This window comes from Homo sapiens, chromosome 11 (genome assembly GCF_000001405.40).
Source record: "Homo sapiens chromosome 11, GRCh38.p14 Primary Assembly".
Taxonomy (NCBI): Eukaryota; Metazoa; Chordata; class Mammalia; order Primates; family Hominidae; genus Homo; species Homo sapiens.
In genome coordinates, this window is record NC_000011.10 from 85,364,699 (window position 1) to 85,387,904 (window position 23,206).

The window sequence follows — 23,206 nt, forward strand, 5'->3', positions numbered from 1 at the left end:
AGCCCTTATAATATTCATTGTTACTGACTTTAATAGTAATACATTTAGTGTTAACAATTCCATGAAGCATGACATAGAATGTGATTTCAGATAGATTTTCAAAATAGCTTTAAGGAAACATTCTTTTAATTTAGTTTTATCACATAGTTTTTTTGTTTTTCCCTATCCTTCTGAGCTTTTTTTTTTGGTTCAGAGTTGGTACATTGTTTAACCACCATGTATCACCAAAAAATTATAAAGGTGCTTCCATCTCCTAGAGAGGATTAGAATTATAGACGGGGGCAAGAAAGAATGCCAGTCATACTTTAATCTGGGACCCTCACCCTACAGACAAAAATGTAAGAATATAAGGCCAAAAAACATGAAATAAGTTTCCTAACACCATACAGCTGGTCAATTATTTAGTCACAAGAATTGTTGTTTATAAAAATCTAACTTAAAAAAAATCATTAGCAAACCTAGGACGGCATCCCACCTTGCTGACTCTCAGGAGCGGCTCTTTTTGTAATACTATCCTAAATAGCATCCTTCTTTGTGCAGGTAAGATTAATGGCAAAGGGTATCCCAGAAAACAATAATGGGAGAGAATGAGAAGATCACATGCCTATATATAATTTATGAGTCTGATATTTAAATAGGTCAAATTCTCTATTCTTTGATTCATTAACTTGCACACGTGTAAGTCTGGTAGGAAAGGGCTGGGAACTGCACAGTTGAATGACAAGAGGAAGAGTTATCTGGAATCTGTGTTAACCTTTAAAATTGAACTTCTGTATCTTCAATTGAACCAGTAGACTTATTTCACACATTGTGGAAGACATTGTGGTGATTCCTCAGGTATCTAGAACCAGAAATACCATTTGACCCAGCAATCCCATTACTAGGTATATACCCAAAGGATTATAAATCATTCTACTATAAAGACACATGCACATGTATGTTTATTGCAGCACTATTCACAATAGCAAAGACTTGGAACCAACCCAAATGTCCATCAGTGATAGTCTGGATAAAGAAAATGTGGCACATAGACACCATGGAATACTATGCAGCCATAAAGAAGGATGAGTTCATGTCCTTTGTAGGAATGTGGATGAAGCTGGAAACAATCATTCTCAGCAAACTAACACAGGAACAGAAAACAAAACACCCCATGTTCTCACTCATAAGTGGGAGTTGAACAATGAGAACACGTGGACACAGGGAGGAAAATATCACACAACAGGTCCTGCCAGGAGGTGGGGGGCTAGGGGAGGGACAGCATTAGGAGAAACACCTAATGTCAGGTTGATGGGTGCAGCAAACCACCATGGCACATGTATACCTATGTAACAAACCTGCATGTTCTGCACATGTATCCCAGAACTTAAAGTATAATAAAATAAAATAAGGATGTTGGAGTTGAGGATGGGGGCAGTCCCAGACATTACCAAAATGTAATTGCTAGCTCTGGATTGCTATAATTCTAAGAAAGGCACATTTGGAGGTATGGAGAATATGAGAAACCTGTTGATTTATATGTCTTCATGTGAAATAACATAGCTTTTCACCTTATCTTTACAAACACCAGTTTCATCACTGCCTATTTTTTATTTTTTCTATTTCATCCCACTCCTCTTCCCACAACTAAATAGAATGTAGCTTTTTTTCTTCTTTGCACAATATATATAAATAAATATCTAAAAAGAAAATTATTACTCTAGAGGATTATCAAGCCAGACTCAAAAACAAAAAGTCATTAATTTGTATGGGCATTAGAAACAGGAGAAACTTAGAAGTCCAATTTCAGTTAACTAATTCCTCCATGGTTTTCTAACAAATGGATATATCCTATTAAATGGACATTGCATATTTAAAAACCAATATTTTTTGTTAGACATTCAGGTTATATTTAATATTTAGCTATTCTAAATAATACTGAAATTAACATTCTTATAAAGAAATTGTTAGCCATATCTCAGAATTTTTGGGGGGTAGAGGATAAGTTCCTAGGGAATTTGCTGGATAAGAGAGTTAAAGTATACATTTTGATGTATATATAGCCATAATCGTTGGATTTATTTTCTTCCCACCAACAGGGAACAAATGTTTCTCTGTTAACATATTCTCATCAGTCTTGAATACTATTAATCTTATAAGCTTTGCAAACTTTCTTGAACTTTTCACTTTTTAAGTCAACCATTATTAACTATATTTTTGTGAATTCCTTGTTTATGATGTCATGATGTCATTTCAATTATGTATCACTGTGATTTTGTTTTTCTCATTGAATAATTTTCACATTTTTTATAGTATACTTCCAGAAAAGTTTTACTAAAGATACTGTTGCCTGAATACTTCAACACCTTGTTACTGAATTTAATGGCAATGTATTTAGCGTTAACAATTCCATGAAGTATGACATAGAATACAGAATGCGATTTTAGATCAACGTTTTAAAAAATAATTTCAAGGAATCATCCCTTTAATTTAGTTTAATAACATAGTTTTTTGTTTGTTTCATATTGTTTTCCTTCATTTATTATGAGGGATGATTGTTCAAATGTTCTAGAGGCAGTATAGCAACTGCTCTGAAAGCAGATTGCCTGGATCCAAATCATAATTCACTGCTTAATAGCCGACTGATGCTGAAGAGTTTACTTAAACTTTCTCTACCTAACTTTTCCTGTCAGTAAAATGGGAATAATGATATTAGCATCTGTGTCATATGGTTTTAGTGAGGATGAGTTAATTCATTTAAAGTGTTTAATGTAGTATCCACCACACAGTAAGCACTTGAAAATGTTAGCCAAATATAAATATTATGGCACTATTATTATTGTTGCATATTGGGAGGTGCTCTGACAGAGTGGCTTAATCAATATTACATGTTCTTGTTTTCATATCTTAGCTTTCTCATATGCTAATTATGTGCATTTGAGCAAGTTACTAAACATTGTGTGTGTCAGTTTTTCTCATCTAAAATATGAAGATAAAATACTTCATGGGAATTTTGTATGAATTAACTGAACATATATATACTTAAAGCACTTACAATAATGCCTAGAACATAGCTCATTATAGCATTCAACAAATGTGAGCTATTACTATTACCTATTTCGGTTGCATCTTTTATTTATTAATGATATGCCATATTAATAGATTTTCTCATAGTAATTTCCATTGCATTTATAGAACAAATCTTTCTTGGAACTTTTTAATGTACTCTTGAATTAGATTAGTTCTCTTATTAGTATTTTTAAACTATATTCATAAATGAGATTAATCTGTATTTTCTTTTAGTGTTCAGTTTTTATATACACTATTTTCCTAAAATTAGAAAGTTTCTTTGCTATTTCACTAGTTTGGAAATAAGCACCAATCATGAGACTTACCTATCTTTGAAAGTTTACATGTATTTGATTTTAACCCTACCTGAGTTTGTTTCATTAAAGTTAATTCTTTGACAAAATTTTAATTTATTCCAAGGTTATGAGTCTATTCATGTTTTCAATTTCTAATTGGATCAATTTAGGTAGTTTATGTGGTGAAAAGAGAAAATTATAAGCCCATATTCTTTAATTCAGCTAGAAATTGCAAACGTGAGGTTGCATTCTTCAGTTAATACAGCTGCTTTAAGAAGACAAAGCCCTGTGCTAGCCATCACTTCTCAATAAATTGATGAGGCAACTTTATTCTTCCAGTTGTTCAGGTCTAAATCTTTGAAGATACCCTTGATACTTCTCTTCTTTGACATCTAATCCACCAACAAATCATTTGACATATATCCAAAATTCAATTGCCTCACCACCTCCACTGTTCTCCTAAATTCCAACCTATCATTATCTCTCACCCGGAGTATTTCATTAATCTTCTGATGCATCTTCCTACTTTTTCTCTTGTCTTCTAGAGTATAGAACGAGGTGTACTACCCAGATCTCCCAATCAGAACCAACGCTTTCAATTCCCAACTTCCAGGATTGTTGGTGGCCAACAGTGCATATCTGAGTCTCTCTCAATAAATTGCTCTCAGCTCAAAGGGAATTCCTTCATCTAGGGTCACACCTGTTTCCCAAAGGTAGACAGCTTCTAACTGAGACAACCAGGTGGGAGGGGTCCCTGGAGAAACTCTAACCAGCCTGCCCACTGCGGTGGAACCGCAGGAAGTTCACAACATTTGCAGCAGAGAGGAGACTGACCCCTTTTCTTCCTGTGTGGAGCCTGGGATTCAGGCAGTGGGCAGGAAGCACTCTAGTGGAGGTACTCTGGATTTGCAAGAGTCCCTGATTCCCCAGAACCCCATCTTTAGCTAAACGAAGGAAAAGTCCTGCAACATTTTTGGCACCAAACATGGGGCTCCAAAAGCAGTGAATGAAATGGGGACTCAAAATCTCTCACTATTGCTCCTAAGCATTTTCATCCTCAGACTACTGAGGGTGGGGGAAACAAGCCGCCAAGCCCTGTCACTCTTGGGGGTCGGAGGAAAGGCCCTTTTCTTCCTTTTTCAGGATGGACAGGCAAGCGGGGTCTCCTTGCTCCCCCTCCCCTCTGTGTGGAGGCTGGGGTGTATGGCCCAAGGGTCCCACACAGCTAGCTGGCTGGCTCCCAGACAAAAGCCACAGCAGCCTTCCCTTTCCCCCCGCCAAGAGGTTCAGCTTTTTCTGACAGTAATTAAGCTTTTCTCCTGGTGGAGGAACCACTTTCATAACAATAAGAGGTTCTTCCCCAGGCATTTTTAAACTGTTTTTTTTTTCTTCCCCTTCTCTACCCCGTCAGCAGTTAACCTTTAACTTTTTTTTTCCTTTTAGAAGACGTTTTTACTAGACCAGGCAACCCAACTATCACTGTTTGTACTCTCTGTAAAGTTTTGGTCATGAAAAAGGATTTGTGGGGCTAGTCTTTGGCTATGGCCCATCTGGTGTGCTTTGCCTGTCTGCATGGTTTGTGCTCCAAGCCTCCATCTTGCTTTACATCCTGGGGGCATAGCTGGTAAGTGCTTGGCAAGGCTTTGTTTAGCAACCCTGCCTTAGGGGATGAGCTCTCTCTGGTTCAATATCTGCAGGTTTTCCTAGCCCTGTCTCTTAAAGGACACCACAACCACTGGGTTTTCTTCTGCCTGTCTGTGTGTGTACTGTGATGTCTGTACAAGGAGCTCTGATTCATGTGGCCTAAAGAAAGGGTCTTGGATCAAGTATTTTTTAAAAAGGGAAGATAAAAGCTGTGGTACCTTTCAGGTCACATGACTTTAATCTTTGAGAAATAAAATCAGCCTTAAAGATTATTGGTAAAATGTAGATGTCATTAAAATGTAAATAGGTGAACTGAAGAATGCAGGTCAGATGCAAGGTTTGCCAAGTGTTTTGAGGTTACAAACTGGTTTTTGGGTTTTGAAAAGTATTTGACTTGCTGGCTTCACAATTGATAAGGCCTATGGAACTGACATACGGAACTAACCATGCCCTTAATTAAGAAGGCAAAATTTGGCTGCAGTTAGCACACAATTAAAGCAACTTACCAAGTTTTACCTTAAAGTTAAAAATGCCTAGGAGTTAACTGAAACTACTAGAAATAGATTTACATGAAAGGTGTATAAGAACAGTAAAATGTGTTTTTTAGTAAAAGGTTATAAGAAGGCATGGAAATGTAAACTTTTGCCTAGAGTTAAAGGATTGTTTTGAGTTAAATTAGGAAAAAGCTGAAGGTTAAAAGAAGTAGTGCAACAACTGTGGAAATTAATCTTGCAGAAGAGGTTCTTCATGTGAACGTATTGACTAAATTCAAAAAAGGGTATTATATGGTTTTTCTGTAAATTGAGCACTCAAATAAATGCATAACAAGGTTTTCCTATGGCACCAATCTGCTCTTTGGCAACATTTGTAAGTGGTTATAAAAGGTTTTTGCTTCTTTAAAATTTCTGAGTCATCATTTTGGCAAAATAATTACCTTACGGTACTCTGGAATTCTATTTTATAATATCAAGTATTTTACACCTCAAACATTTAACAGCCTTCCGAAAATCAAACTTCAGTTTCAAAATTGTCTTCCCTGGCACCTGGCTTTTTGAGTACTTCAGAGGGCCCCTGACGTGTCCAGAAAAGAGAGGTAAACAGGATTATTTGACATGTTTAGGTAGATGGGATTTCCAAAATGATGCTCAATCTTCTTTAGGTTATATATTGGTACTATATATGGTTATATATATAATGCTAATATATGTTCCAGAATTGTATGGGATTTCTAAAATTCTAATGTCTAAGTATATGCTACCAATCACAACTAACATTGTTATGTTAAGTTATTGTAAGCCATGGAGTTAACCAAACTTCTCTGACATGAGTGTTTCTGCTTGTAGCTACCCTGGACATTTTGTTATTCACAGACAATTGTCTTGTTTTAATCCTTTTCAAAGATGGTTTATAATGAGCTATAGAACTTTAACAGGTGCTCTCAAATACAGACTTCTGATAACTTTGGATATTGTGACATTGGAATACAGGAACATGCCCAGGACTCATGAAGAGCTGAAATGTTCATGAATATCAAGCAAAACAGGAGTTAACTAAATGGACTGAACTCAGGAAGCTGAAGCAACCTTTTTGACTTTCGCTTGGAATATTGCTAATCCATGTTTTGTTTTTCAGAGTCAAGGAAACTTATTTTGGACTATTTACGGCCTTTAATAATTGAGTAAGGTATACTCCTATGAATGAAATTTGAAACATGTTGGTTACTCTCTGCCTGGTTCCTCTAGAATTTAGAAACTATCTGTGAGTATTCTTATGACAATATAGTTATGTGCATCAGTGCAATAAGAATCCATTTTTCTTTTGCAACAGGACACAATTGGAGAAAGTAGTTATTTTACCAAGGCTTTGACTGGAAGGGTATGCTTCCGTTTGAGGAGTGAAGCTTGACTTGCAGAGCCAATAAAAGCCCCATGGGGAAACTGGCCTCATACCCTTGTCTATGCTGTCCCTGTGCAGAGTTCTTGACCTGTGGTCAGTAAAGAATGTCACTTTATAACAGGGATAGGAGCTCCAAGTTTATCTTGGGACCTTTGGAGAGGATCACCCAACTCACAAGTATTTGAAGATGAAAACCCATGGCTGGGCTTGGTTTTAAAAGGTCTTATCCGTGATTCCTTGTGGTACACACTTCCATCAAAGCCAGTCCAAAAGGCCTATGTAGAAATAGTTATTCTTGCTCTACTTTATGCAAATAATCAGGCCAAGTATAAGACTAAAGTCCCTTTTGCAAACCACTCAGTCCTGACATAATTTGTTTTTTAACAAAAATGAGAACTGGAGAGAGAGAAATTATATTTCAAAACTTATACATTTGTCATTAAATTCTAAACTCACTAGCTGTTTTTAAGTTTTTGTCTACATTTTAGACTAACCCTGCTTGTTCCTTTGAACCAAGGAGCAATCTCCAGCTGTAGCTCCGAAAGAACTAAAGGGATGGGTAATATAAAAATCTGGATCAATATTCTAGTTCTGAGCAGTTATCCTGCAAATCCTGCCAGGTGATGGGAATAAGTAGAATATCCATCACTTGGAAGTTTCCTTTTTGGGAAAGTAAGACTGAGGGAGCTGACCAAGGCTGGGCACCAGGCAGCCAAATCCTAGCAAGCATAACTATAGCTACCAATTATCTGGGTGTGTAACAAGACATCCTTTCCTCTCCCTTGGAGGAGAACTCAGTTCCACAGCTTTACTTAGCCTTTGGTTTATGATAAGGAGTCCATGCAACCCCCCTGAGATACATTTTGTCTCAGACTCAATTCCAAGCTTCGGGTCAAAGCCCTAGGAAAGAAAATTGTATCTAAGGGATCCAGAAGCAAATGATAATGAAGGTTAAAACACACAGTGCAGGTGAGCGTGGCTGATTACTGCCAATTAAGGCAACCCCAAGCTTTTTGTTTCATGGATAAAAGCCACATTAATATCCATGGCATAAATGAGGTCTAGGGAACTCTAAGGCTACTAAGACTAGGTAGGAAAGAGACATAGGTGACAGCGAATAATTCCTATTCTCTAGGCCCTCTCTGCTTCATGGGTACAGCCACTTTGGCACTCATGGCAGCACCTGCCAAGGTTGCCAGAACTCAGGAATACAAGGATGGAAGAGGGAAAGTGGACGCTCTTCCCTCTCTCCCTGAAGTACCCCTGGTATCTGTTAGGAAGAGAAGAGAACCAGGGACACCTGCTCCCTTTTTTCTAGATGGGTAGCCACTCACCTTCAGTCTGTACCCATTTCAAATGCATCCTGAACCCTTGGGACTCCTTTAAAAAATGCTTTATTTTTCCTTTCTCTTCCTCGGTTCTCTCTTCAGATAGGTAATTGTGTCTCCATACCATGGGACACTCCCCTCAGATGCATCCTCCAAACTGAAAAGAGTTAATTTCCCAAACCTTAAACTGGTCGACCTAGGTTTGGGCTTAGGGAAGGGAACCCGGAAGTCCAACATGCTGGCCAAAGGGTAAAGCTTTTTTTAACCAGTCGGACTTTTGGCTTCCCTCTCTCTGTGCAAACTGGTAAAAGGCCTTGGAATTTTTGAGCTGTCCTTAACCCTCCCCTTGTTTCATTTTGATACATGTTTCCTAATAATCTGGTTTGTCTGTTCTTGCATTCAGGCCATCAAACTCCAGTCACACAACTGGAGCCTCAGATGATGGCCCCTCCTACCAGGAACACTTAGGCTTCTAGGGAAGCTCTGACTGCCATTTCCCCAAAACAGCGGCCCATGTCAGCAGGAAGCATTTAAGATCAGTCTTCATCCTTATCCTTAATCTAACATCAGTTAGATGTACTTCTTTGGAGGCAGGAATGAGATAGTCAGATGGGAAAGAGTCCCTGGAGAAACTCCAACCAGCCTGCCCATTGGGGTGGAGCCTCAGGAAGTTCACGACATTTGCTTCAGGGAGGAGCCTGGCCCCTCTTCTTCCTGTGTGGAACCTGCAATTCAAGAGGCAGGCAGGAAGCACTCTATCTAGCAAAGGGACTTTGGCCTTGTAAGAGTCCCTGTTTTCCCCTTTTTTCCCTTTTCATGCAATAAAACCCTGCTTTACTCACCCTTTAAACCATCTGTGAGCCTAAATTTTCATGGCCATGGGGCAGACAAGAACCACGTCTTTAGCTGAACTAAGGAAAAGTCCTGCAACATAATGACTGGTCAATGTAGATCTGGCCCCTTTGCCTCAATTTAGGACAACTCTGAAAGGATATCTGAGTTTCAGAGCTCCTGTGGATCAGTGGAGGATATTATGATAGCCACTTTTCATGTAACACGTCACTCTGCCCAATCCTACATTCTCACTAACTCATAAGTATTGTTCCTGAGCACACTTCCTAATAAACTTTCTATGTGCAAATTCTTCATCTCAGAATCTGCTTTTCAGGGCCACTGACCTAAGATGCTTTGTGCAAGGAATTATATGAAAAAAAAAGCAGACAGTTTTTGAGCTGCAACACCCAGTGGCTCTCTGGCCAGTGAGAACTTTATTGGTGGTGTAAGTAAAAACTGATAATTCTTAGCATGTTATAATGATGAAGTTACTAAAACTTTCACCTGTGGTGAACTGGGAGAAAAAAAACAGAGGGAAGGAATGCACTGGTAGTTATGACATCCCAGTCACACAAGAGGTTTTGGGGAAATAATAATTATAAAAACCATGGATTTGAATGGATGTTGTTGAATGTGATCAAAGCTTTAAAGAAAGACAATGCAAGACTAAAGGTGATTAATCACCAATATGAGGTAAAATGTAAAAGTCAGAGAACTCCTGAGCTATAAAGATACTTATGTCCTACAGCCACACCTGGCTAATTTTGTATTTTTAGTAGAGATGGGGTTTCACCATGTTGGCCATGGTTGGCCAGGCTGGTCTCAAACTCCTGACCTCAGGTGATCTACCCGCCTCAGCCTCCCTAAGTGCTGCAATTACAGGCATGAGCCACTGCAGCGGGTCAAATATTTTTAAAATAAACTTTACTACAGCAATAAAAGAGGGTACTGGCACTCAAAACCTAGAAACCACTCAAGTACCTCACCCTAACTACAAAGAATCTTCTATCATTGCTGGCTCAAGAAAATTTAAAACATTTCCAAATGAAAAGAAAACCAAAAACAATAATCATATATATCTATAACAAGAAAAAAACAGAAAATGTGATAGTGGTATTGAGGTTCTGTCAGAGACTATCTTTGTTCTTAGGAGATATATACTAAAACCTTTAGGGCTGAAATGTTACGATACTTGCAATTTAATTTCAAATTATTCAGCAAACACACACACACACACACGAAGACATAAAGTTTAGTACCAGTTAGCAAATATAAACAACTATGTCTTCTTTTTACTTCTTTATTCCTTTTCATTTCTTTTTTTTTCCCTTTGTTCCTTCTTTTTTCTTTTCTTTTTTTTTTATCCTGGAACATTTTCTACATTCACAAGTAAGGTATTATTTCTCTAGTTGTAATGATACTGGATATAAACATCCTCATTTCTGACCAAACTGATCAAATATCACAGAAGAATAATTGTATGACCTTGTAGAATATTGGAGAATAAGCAAAATGCATTAAATAACTACTGGGGACTATGTTGAAAACTTTTGAAAGTTCAATACACATAGATCTTCACAGTTAAGAAGTGATGTGATGATTTCTTGCCTAATCAACCAGATCAAACACCCGAATCTAAAACTGCTCTTTTTTCGACTGGGCATGGTGGCTCACGCCTAACCCCAGCACTCTGGGAGGCTGAGGCAGGAGGATCACTTGAGGCCAGGAGTTTGAGACCAGCCTGGGCAACATAGCCAGACCTGTTTCTATGGGAAAAAAACCAAAAACAACAACAAAAAAACTGTCCTTTTCAGTTGTCATTCACAACAAAAGTTGTTATATAATCAATCAATGTAGTTTTATTTTTTCAGTATTTTTCAGTACTCCTTTGTAAGTATACATACCCACACAGGTATTTCCTGCTTATGCTACTAGTCTAAAAGTCACTGATCTAATTGTTTAATTCAATTTGAACAGTAATAAGGACAACATAACTCACATGGAAGCATTTGATAATGATTTTTGACTGTGCTCTTGTAAAGCAAGAGACCATGATGATTTGATTTAGACAGCAGTTATGACAATACAATTTGCATTCAGAAACTTAATAAACACTTTAATTGTGCTCTTGGTTGACTCTCCCCAAGATAAGATATTTAGAGATACAGAGAGAAGTCTAAGTAAACACAGGATGCCACATGTTAGAAAATAAGTCCAATGAGAAAGAAAAATGCCAAGTATACATAGATATTAATATTTTACATTTGTATATACTCCCAGTTAACAAAGCACCATTGCACTATTTCAACCTAATAAGTAGTTATAGAGCACATACTCAAGGCACTATACCAGACAGTCTACGAAAAACAAAAAATGAATACATCCCCACAGAGGGCTTACAATCCAGTAGAAGATATGGTCTGCTTAACTCAAAGAAATAGAAATTGTAGAGATGCAAATTGTTATAGGAATATAGAGGGAGGAGAGATGAAATCTAACTGGAGGTGTCAGGGAAGACTTCATTCAGCAAGCAGTATTTGAATTTGGGCCTTGAAAAAATAAAACATCATTTGATTAAAATCAAACATTATAAGACAATCATAGAATTCACTATTATGTCAATCTCATAGGTCAAGAAACTGAGGCTGAAAGAGGCTAAGAGGACTCTCCTACTCATGGTCTTACAACTGGTAAATGTCAAGAGGCCTGAACCAAGTTTTTTTATTCCTTTATTTAGTGCTCATTTACTATATCACTCTATAAGAGTTGTCTTAATCTGGGCAAGAGAGCAGATGTTCTTTCAGTATAGTAAAAAACTTTTTAAAAAGACTACTCATTTCTGCTATAATAAACTTGGTTGTCCTTTGTAAACCATATGAAAATAAATGTTCTTATCCTCTAAATGTTAATGTTATTCCCTACTGTAAGTACAGAAAATTCCTTACGGTATTTCAAGTATAAGTACTGGAAAAATCAGATCTTTGTTTAAAGATTAAGAAACCAACCATTAGAAAAGGGTGAAAACCAACTTCATCATGATAAGTAAACAGACTGTGGTATGATAGTGAGAGTGATACCCCACTACTAGTCTTTGCATCCCCGGGAGGATAGAAAAGGAGAGGACAACAGGATTAAGCTGTACTGGATATAAGGTAAATTTTTTCCAATGGGAAAGAATACCCAAGAAAATAATAACACATGTGCGCCTTACTATATGTCAGGCACTCTTCTAAGCACCTTGTACTTAATTCTCAAACAACTCCATGAAATAGGTATTATTATTACCACCCTTTATGGATAATGAATCTAAGCCACAAAGAAACATAGCCAAGGTCATGTAAGTGATAGAGGTAGCATATAAACTGTGTCTGGCTATAGAATCCTGATTCTTAACAATTCAACTCTACCATCTGTCAAAAAGTGAGATTGCATACTCTTTTTGAAGATGGCTTTAAAATATTAATGCAAGTACAAATTAAATCTGTAACACATAATGGAAGTTCTAGTCCTAGGAAGCAACAGCTTAGCAAGGCATCTAAGAACATAAACTTTGGCATCAAGCATACCAGGTTTTAAGGCCTCAGTCAACCTACCTGTGTGAACTTGGGCAAGTTATGAAAGCTTGAGTTTCCTCCTTTCGAAAGGAGGCAGCAATTATTGTGCTTTGAGATGAGAATGGGAGCAAGCAGCACAGTATGGTAAGAAAAGTACTGGGCTTGAATGTCTAAAAATTCAGATTATACCCTCAGCTACTAACCAGCCCTGTTAAATAAAATAACCCATGAATCAACAAATATTTATAAAGCTTTATATATGACTCTGTTGTATATACTCTAGGGATATAGCGGTTAAAAAAGACATTGTTCCTTAGTTTCTGAGAGCTAATTCATTCAAGTTTGCTCATTGGTTTCCTTAATAATTGGACTCAAGCCCCAAATTAAGGCTGTTTGGCATTTATATTCTATGATTCTGAGACAGAACTTGAATAACAATACCATGGTGGCTCTGTTTCTTGCTAAGTGCAATTTGTGTGTGTATACATATATATATATATATATATGTGTGTGTGTGTGTGTGTGTATACATATATATGTGTGTATACATATATGTGTGTGTATACATATATATACACACACACACAAACACACACACACATACATATATATATACACATATTTCAATTCCTCCTTTTATTAGTTATAAGGAGATTTGTACAGAAAGAAATAGAGACTGAATTTCCAGTCACTACCTACAGCTGCTATAACCAGCTGTTCCCACATATTTTCTTCATGGGACAACATTTTTCTGGAATGTAGATTAATACATGACACTTCATTGAGCCACAGTAAAAGAAAGCAGAATCAATGTGATTTACAGAAACTTCATGGAAAATATTGTCTTTTTTCTCTTCCTCCAAAAGGAGCTCAGTGACAATTCCAAACAATTCATACAGAAATTGGAGAAATAATTTTCACATCTTGAACATATTTCCATTCCTCTAGTTGACAGGGACTGGCAATACTACTGTGAATTTTTTGTGATTATTCATGAAATGAAGTCTCATAATGGTAAGAGCATCAGCTTTGAGGTCAGATTGTCAAGCACAGAGATAAATACAAATATACATAGATATAAATCCCAATTTCATCACTTACAAGCTGGGAGACTTTAACTGTTTTGACCTTCAGTTTCCTCATATGTAAAATGAAAATGATTATACCTATTTTCTAGTTACCAAATTAGATAAGACTTGGTATATAGCACTTCATTTAATTACAGCCATTAAACTTATAATCATCCTTAGCTGTTAAATATATATATAGATAGATGTGTGTGTGCAAGAAGAAAAAAATGAACTATCTTTTCAAAATCTAACTGATTTTTATACAAGAAAAACTACTACTTCAGCTATTTTACATTAAATCACCACTTAGGAAATAAAATAGACAACACCTCCTAAATTCCTTTGTAGGCAGATCAATATTTAATACATGCCATTAAAATATTTTGCAGTTTAGTACTAAAACCACACCAAAATGGCAAACCAAATTACAAGTTTATTCTCAATACTTACAAGATTTCATACATAACAAAAGTTTGAATACATCTTTCCATGTACCTACTATTAAAATTATACTTTAGGTATTCTGACAGGAAAAATACACATAAATTTCTAAGTACCACTTCAAGTTACGAGCTCTAATTTTGCATCCCCTTTACCAGCACTTAAATTGCTGGTTTTATAATCATAAATGTAGGAATAACAAGCAAAACAAAGCAAATAATACATAACTTCAGAATTCAATATTTGTGAGCAAATCATTGAAATATTTCAAGTCACCAGTCATGCTTCATTCACCATAAGTAGGTCAACAGAAAAGTAAATTAACTTACAATGAACAAGAACTTCCTTGGACTCCATGAAAATGCGGAGAAGAGTGGGATGAACTTAGACTTTTACACATAAATGTCTGCTAGTCATTGTTAGACTCCCTAGCTCTGTCCCTTGCTCATACCACCTCATCAAACATACAACCACAGACGCTCCTCCCTAACAGCTGACTTTTAATCCTGTCTTTAGGTTTAAACAAGATCCTTTCAAAGATATGTAGCATGTGATATGAAAGTCACCAAGAAGAAAATTATTTTAAAAAATCATCTCCTAGTACAGGAATGCTCTATCTCCCTACATGTTCCTCAGAAAAAGCAGATTGACTTAAGAGTGGAACGATAATTTGTTTTCACACCAGTTGCTACATTGAATATATTAAGACTACCCAAAACAAGTCTCTTCTTAGAGCTGGAGGATGTGCACTCTGGGATATAACAAAAATGTCAAAGCCATTTGGGTACCAATAAAAATGAAACATTAATGTTATAAAGTCAACTATTATAATCAGGCTATATTACTTCCAGGAAATTAGTAAACACTATCTAATCCAGGCTCTCCCACAACACAAAAGCCTAGAGCCAGTGGATTGGCAATGATATTATAGAGATTGCAACGATACTTCTGGCTGCTGTTTTTCCCTACTATACCATGTAAGATATGAAGGAGTTCTCTTCACCTAACTCCCTCAAATGCTAAATGGTGGTGGTACTTTTTACTCACAGAAAATAATTTCAATTCCAAAAATTCACTAGCTGTTTCTCTTTTTTTATATGTCACAAAATGTCACGTTTTCTTATTTACAAGCCTTATCACTTACAAATATTTGAGAATAATTACATAAAAGATGAACATCATTTCCTATTACTATCTGTATCAACAAAATATAAAAGTACTACGTTTGATTTTCCACAAAATATTGCCCCCAAGATTTTTACACACATAAGAACTCCTCACCTAAATATCACCCACAGCTAACATTCATTTGATGCATAACTACTGAACCTAGCTGTGCTAGACCCTAGAGATACAAAAAATGTAAGACATGATCCTTTGTGAAAAAGTTTACAATATATATAGTGTTTATTCCAGTGGTATACAACAATGTTGCCACATTGAAATTCTCCCTCAATATTCCCTTTTCAAAAATCTCTGCATCGAAATACGTTCCATATCATTTTATTTCATTAAGGTAAATTCTGGTCAACTATACTGAATAAAAGAATATTTAAAAGTGAACATGGGTTGGGCACAGTGGCTCATGCCTGTAATTCCAGCACTTTGGGAGGCCAAGGCAGGAGGATCACCTGGAGGTTGGGAGTTTGAGACCAGCCTGACCGACATGGAGAAACCCTGTCTCTACTAAAAATACAAAAATTTACTGGGCGTGGTGGCACATGCCTGTAATCCCAACTACTCGGGAGGCTGAGGCAGGAAAATCCCTTGAACCTAGGAGGCGGAGGTTGCGGTGAGTCAAGATTGCACCATTGCTCTGCAGCCTGGGCAACAAGAGTGAAACTCCATCTCAACAACAACAATAAAAAAAAGTGAACATGGAGGAGTGACAGAGAAACAGAGAAGCATCATAACTAGTTAACTATGCATCAAATTGGATTTGCACATTGAAGGCCAGTTTATTTCTATAGAGGCTATTGAGGATAATCCAAGGAATGACAACACTTATAGGAGTCCAGAATTCTTACTAGACTGATCTAAACATTTAAGTCATCCAGTTGTCCAATCAGAGAAGATCCCCTGAAGCAGCAACCACAAACTCAAAACTCTAACAAGACCAAGGGAAAAATGTAAATGAGTAGCATCGGCTAAGAGTTACAGAAAAATCACATGAACTTTTTGGTTTATCTTCTATTTCCCAGAAAAACTTAGGTAAAAATGAATATTTCTCTACTATAAGAAAAGGAATGTTGAATGCAAATGCAGACAACTTATACTCTGCTTCAGTATAAGAGATACCATCAGGAGTGCTAGCGACTGTAGTCTAATGAAGAGAGCACAGCCATGCACTTAAAGTATGCAGCAACCATTGCCATGTACAAATTTGAGCCAAGTATTATTATTAGACTTTCTGGTTTTTCAAGTGAAGCCAGAAATTCAGATTTTTGTGTGAAGTTTCCTAATATTTGTATGTTAGTTCAATGTTTAAAAAAATTGGTAGGTTCAAATGCATCAGTCTGTATAACAGATCCAGCCTCTTCAACATGAATAAAGGGTATCTATGAAAAACTCACAGCTAACATCATACTTAATGGTGAAAGACTGAAAGGTTTTCCCCTAAGATCAGGAACGATACAAGAATGGCTGCTCTCTTTATTTCTTTCCAAAATTATACTGGAGGTTTTAGCCAGGGTAATTAGGCAAGAAAAAGAAATCAAAGTCATCTAGACTGAAAAGGAAGAAATCAAATTATCTCTAGTTACAGGTGATATGATCTCGTATATAGAAAATACTAAGGAATTCACACACAAAAAAGAAACTATTGGAACTAATAAATGAGTTCAGCAAGGTTGTAGGATACAAGACTAATACACAAACATTAATTGTATTTTATATACTAGCAATGAACAGTCCAAAAATAAAATTTAGAAGACAATTCCATTTGTAAATTTTTTTTTAAATTATTAATAAGTTTAACAAAGGAAGAGTAAAGCTTGCACACTAAAAACTACAAAACATTGTTGAAATAAAGTAAAGATATAGATAAACAGACATTCCATATTCATGAATTAGAACGCAATATTGTTAAGATGGCAATACTCCCTAACTGATTTACAGATTCCACATGACCTTTATCAAAATCCCAGCTGAGTCTATGGTCATAACACCCTGAAAACAAAAAATCTCAGATGACTTTTTTCTAGACATTGACAAGCTGATCCTAAAATTCATACGGAAATGCATGGGACCCAGAATAACCAAAACAATCTTGAAAAAGATGAACAAAGTTGGAGAACTCACACTTCCCTATTTCAAAACTTACTTCTGTAATCAAGACAGCATGGTACTGACATAATAAAAGTCACACAGATTAATGGAGCAGAATTGAGAGTCCAGAAGTAAACTCACATTTATGGTCAGCTGATTTTCAACAATGATGCCAAGACAATTCAGTGTGAAAGAATAATCTTTTCAACAAATGTTTTGGGGACAATTGAAAATTCATATGCAAAGGAATCAATTTGAACCTTTATTTCATACCATATGCAAAAATTAACACAAAATGGATGAAATACCCAAATTTAAGAGCTAAAACTATAAAACCCTTAGAAAATAATATTAAGCGTAAACCTCATGACCTTAGGTGAGTGAACTATTTCTTAGACACATCAAAAGCATAAGCAACCCAAAAAATATAGACTTCATAAAAATTTGTACTCCAAGTGAAACTATGAATAAAATCAAAAGGCAACCCACCGATGAAAAATAACATTTGCAAGTCATTTTTGATAAGGGTTTATTATTGAGATATCTAAAGAACTATTACAACTCAACAACAGAAAGACAACTCAATTTATTAAATGGGCAAATATTTGAACGGACAATTTGCCAGAGCAAATATACAAATGGCCAATAAGCACATGAAAAGATGTTCAACATCATTAGTCATTAGGGAAATGCAAATCAAAACCACAATGAGATAGCACTTCACGTGAGAATATTGTGGCTACAATAAAAATGACAAATAATAAGTTTTGCTTAAGATATGGAGAAGTTGTAATACATTGCTAGTAGAAATGTAAAATAGTGCAGTGGCTTTGGAAAAAGTTGTCAGTTCCTCAAAAAGTTAAACATAAAGTTACCATATGAACCAGCAATTCTGCTCCTCAGTATAGACCCAAGAGAACTGAAAACACATCCACACAAGAATCTGTATGCAAATGTTCATGGCAGTATTATTCATAATAGTCAAACAGTAGAAACAAACCAAACTTTCATCAGCTGATGAACAGATAAATAATATATAGTCTATCCATACAACAGAATATTATTCAGCAATAAAACAGAATTAAGTACTAATGTCTACTAAAACATGGATGACCTTGAAAACTTTAAGTGAGAGAAGCCAGTCATAAAAGGCTACATGTTGTATGATTTCATTTATCCAAAATCCAGAAAAGGCACATGTACAGAAAGTAGATTAGTAGCCTAGGTGCTGAGGATAGGGGATGTGAGGAGTAACTACTAAGGGGTCTGAGGATCCTCGGGGGTGATAAAAATGTTCTGGAATTATATAGCTATAACTGCATAACTTTGTAAACTTACTAACAAAACGCTGAATTGTGTACTTTAAAGGATAAATGTTATGGTATATGAATCATATGTCAATAAAGCTACTAGTAAGAACAAAAATAAGCCCAGCCCAACCACTTTGCAACATTTGCCTAAAAGGAGTTCTACATCAAAACGGCTCCTTACTAATATTTAAACGGAGTTTTGCAAATATTAGCACACGGTAAGTAGAGTGCTCAGTTTTCTAACGTCAACTATCCGGCATAACCTATTTCAATATTTCAAATAAAATACAGCCTTTAAAATTTTAGTAATAACAATGATTTTCAGAAAAAGAATACTTCAATGCTAGAAATTGCTTCCTTCTGCCTAATAAAGTTATATCTTTTCATCCACAATCCAGTTAGCCAATCTTTCCAATTTTACAGCTTATATTAATAACTTCCCTATAGGCTTCCCACACTTCTGCCAAGTTAGATCCTTTCTGTGCCTTGAAAACACCTCAGGCTTTCTTAAATGTGCTCCACCTATTTGGAGTGCCCTTCTCCCCTACAGAAATATCTGAACTATACCTACTCGTCAATGTTTGAAATGCCATTGCTTTTTCTGATTCTCCTTCAAAATCAGGTTCTGACTCTAAGTAAACTGTCTCCTAGTTAATACTCCTTTATATCTTTCCTAGGATACTTTTTATTGAATTTTATGTGCACTTGTCTCCTTTCCCCCTACTGAACAGCAGGTCTTATAATACATATGAAAGTCCAACATGTGCCAGGTACATCAGTTCTAATCCTCACAACAGCCCTGCAAGAAAGGTATTATTCTTATTCTCTTATAGATGAAGAAATTGAGGATTTGAGAGGACAAAATTACTTATTCAAGGTCCAATAATAAGTGGAAAGTCTGAGATTTGACATTGGTTCATCTTTGGTGGCAACTTTGTTTCCCAGAAATTGACAAGCTGATCCTAAAATTCATATAGAAATGCAAGGGATATTTGAAAAAAAAACTTTGCATTTAATAGGTCTTCAAAGATGGTTCATTGAACTATTAATTGGAACTCATATCAAAAAGCTAGTTACTTAACTTGAGCATAGGCTTTAGAGTCATACTCACCTTGGTTCAAGTTTTATCTTCCCTATTTATAAACTGAGCTGAGGTAAGTTACTAAATATTTTTTGTTTGTTTTTTTGTTTGTTTGTTTTGAGAAACAGTCTCACTCTGTTTCCCACGCTGGAGTGCAGTTGCATGAGCTTGGCTCACTGCAACCTCCACCTCCTGGGTTCAAGTGATTCTCCTGCCTTAACCCCCAAGTAGGTGGGACTACAGGTGCATGCCACCATGCTGGGCTAAGTTTTGTATTTTTAGTAGAAACAGGGCTTCACCATGTTGGCCAGGCTGGTCTCAACCCAACCCCTGTCCTTGAGTGATCCACCCACCTCGGCCTCCAAAAGTGCTGGGATTACAGGCGTGAGCCACCCCACCTGACCAAGTTATTAAATCTTAGTCTCAATTTCCTCGTTTGTAAATTGAAGATTATAATATTTAGGTAACTGCATTCTCATCAGGATTAAATGAGAAAAAATAAAATTACATTCTTAGCTCATAGTGGGAGCTCAATAGATGTGGATTTTCTTCCTGTTTATACTTTTTTCCCCTGTGCCCTGCCTCCTACTTACAGTGGCTTAATGAGAACTAATTCTTTGAGACCAGCAAATATGTTACACTTCTACAACTCTTTAGCCTTCTGGCTCAATCATTAGTACAAAATTATCTACTTTATAGAAGGACTGTAAAAAATAAATGAATGTATCTGAGTCAGTGGCTCTCAAATAATATTTTAGCAGCAGAGCCTGATAGGGTTATTTTATGGAAGAAATGTGCTTGAATAGGAAATGAGGAGATAAGGGCTGCAGTCCAGGTTGAAGCATATACCACTGTGCTCCACAGTCAGCTCTTCGTGGAAGGGTAGAAGGAGCAGCTATAGGTTTTTTGTTTGTTTTGTTTTTTTACCAAGGAGTAGGGAAGTTATTTCTTCCCAAGTTTTATAAAACTCTTTATAAGGATGAATAAATAGAAACTAGAATCAGAAGGAAAAACACAAATGAATTATTTGTAGAGCAAACCTATAAGTGGGGAAATTCCAATCTAATGATAAACATCAGAAATCCAAAGAGGATCAGATGTCTCATGCAAGATCCAGCCAAGATTTAAGAAATAAATAAGTATTTTAGCCTGTTCACATCAGTAAACTCCATGTTTTTATTCCTAAAAATCTCACTTAGGCAAGCTATGCTAAGGCTGTGAAACTGATTAATTTAAAAGCTATTTTTCCTCCCCTGAGGCCAGAAGGGATTTTTGAATGATGCAAGAAAGAAAGAGAGAATAATAGAAACAACAGGTGCTCTGAACAGCTGTGGGGAGAGAACTGAACTTTTCAAGATGATCTTAAGAACTAATAAATTGTTAAATCCCTGTTTCAGAAGAGACACAATAAACAATGCACCTCTAAAATAAAAGTTTCCCTTTACTCCACCCCACATTCCCTGAAAACTGACTTTACCCACGATTAGTTGACGATTCCCTGAGATGTCAGAGTTCATCCTCGAGGAGAATTAGTCTTTTAATTGAAAATCCTTTTACATGTGTTTTCTTTAAGAGAAAAACAGAAATTTAATTGGTTACTGAAATTTCATTTTTAAAATTCTGTGATCCACAAACTTGAATATGTCTTGGAGGAAATATGAAATTGTGGAAGAATCACAGACTTTGAAATCTAAAAAATCAGGTTCTAACACATTCTAGCTGTGTGATTTCAGGTTTGTAATAATAATGCCTACATACCACCTATTATTCTAACCACTTTCATATGTTAACTTACTTAGCCCTCAGAATAAGTCTCTATGTAGGTATTATTATTGATTCACTTTAAAGACGAGAAAACTGATGTTTGGTAAGATAAAATAGTTTGATCAAAGCTTCACAATTAATAAGTGACAGAACTAGGATTTGAATGTCGACACCCTACCTCCAGAGACAACATTCCTATCTCATCACATTGACTTCTGACGTGCTTTTCTGATTTTTTTTCTGTGTTGTTCTTTTTTCAACTGTAAAATGGGATGAATTCGTAGGACTATTTTAAATACTAAATAAGATAATATATGTAAAGTACAGTTCCTTGCACATAGGTACATGACAAATAGATTTTTATATGATAATTATTAACATAGATTATGTTATAGGGTCTCAAATTAGCCCCTGTATGATTTACAGAATTGTATTTTCTCTTCATTAAATAACTATGGTATATCCTTTAAAAGAAAGGAGCTTATCTTTTTATTTCTGTTTGTAGCTGTGCCTACCACAGAGAAGATGTTTAATAAATGATAGTGAAAAAAGAAAAAAAGGAAGGGAGAAAGGAAGTAAAACAGGAAAGAAAGAGAGAAAGAGAGGGTAAGACAATAGGAAGGCAACCAAAAAAAAAAAAAAGTTAAAGAATATCCTTTCTTTTTTTTTTCTTTTTTTTTTAGATGGAGTTTTGCTCTTGTCACCTAGGCTGGAGTGCAATGGTGTGCTCTTGGCTCACTGCAACTCCTGGGTTCAAGTGATTCTTCTGCCTCAGCCTCCCTAGTAGCTTGGATTACAGGCACACACCACCACACTCAGATAATTTTTGTATTTTTAGTAGAGACAGGGTTTCACCTGTCTGGTCAGGCTGGTCTCAAACTCCTTACCTCAGGTGATCCACCTGCCTCAGACTCCCAAAGTGCTGGGATTACAGGTGTTAGCCACCAGAATATCCTTTCTTAATGAAATATATTTTATCTTTGTGAAGAACATTCCAGTGCACACCAATTATTGCAAATTGTACTCTACAACATTTTTATAACATTTCCTTGTCTTAATTTCAAGCAGTTGTTCCAGTAAACTATAAGATGATATTTAGTCCATTCTACCTCAAGACTATTAACTTGTATGAAAAGCAGGTAATAATTTTAGACTAAAGGGAGTTCTCAATTTTTCCAAAAAATCAGTGTTTGTTTTACCATTTAAATACAAGCCTTACTAGTGAGTTCTCAATTTAATTACACTCAATGTGTAACATTTTCAAAAGTAAGTTTGAGGAAGGGCCACAATATGGATCCTAGCCATGTCAGCTGACAAATGACCAGTGTATGTCTAGCAGCTGTGGATGCTGAATAATGCAACTAATACAGCTGTCAGTAAGTCAAATATTTTGTTTAGGACCTCAATAATGGATCAATGAGTATCAGCTAATTTCTGACCACCATGTGCAAAAGGGCATCCTCTTACTTTCTGTCAAGCCAGTAATATTTGAAGAGGGACATATCACTCTGAGTCAATATATCTAAAATGATAGGTATAAAATCTTTATCTTTAAAAGTGGAAAATCTAGAGGGGAAAAAATGGCAGACAGGAAGGAGGCAGGACTAACTGGCAGCTCCTACTCAGAGGAACAGAGCAGCATTTGGAAACCCACGTCATGAACTTTTCTCCAA

General features: G+C 36.1%; 1 protein-coding gene across 13 annotated transcripts in view; it reads right to left on the reverse strand.

Moving 5' to 3' along the window:
• Positions 1–23,206, reverse strand: part of DLG2 (discs large MAGUK scaffold protein 2) — a 2,173,362-nt gene that overhangs the window by 1,909,687 nt on the left and 240,469 nt on the right. The window contains exon 1 of one of the 13 annotated variants that reach the window (XM_017017258.2): positions 14,441–14,541. The exons of the other annotated variants lie outside the window; for them this stretch is intronic. Coding sequence (XP_016872747.1) covers positions 14,441–14,468 — 28 coding nt within the window. The 5' untranslated portion in view covers positions 14,469–14,541. Of the gene's footprint in view, positions 1–14,440; positions 14,542–23,206 lie in introns of those variants that run through there. 13 annotated transcript variants of the gene reach the window in all.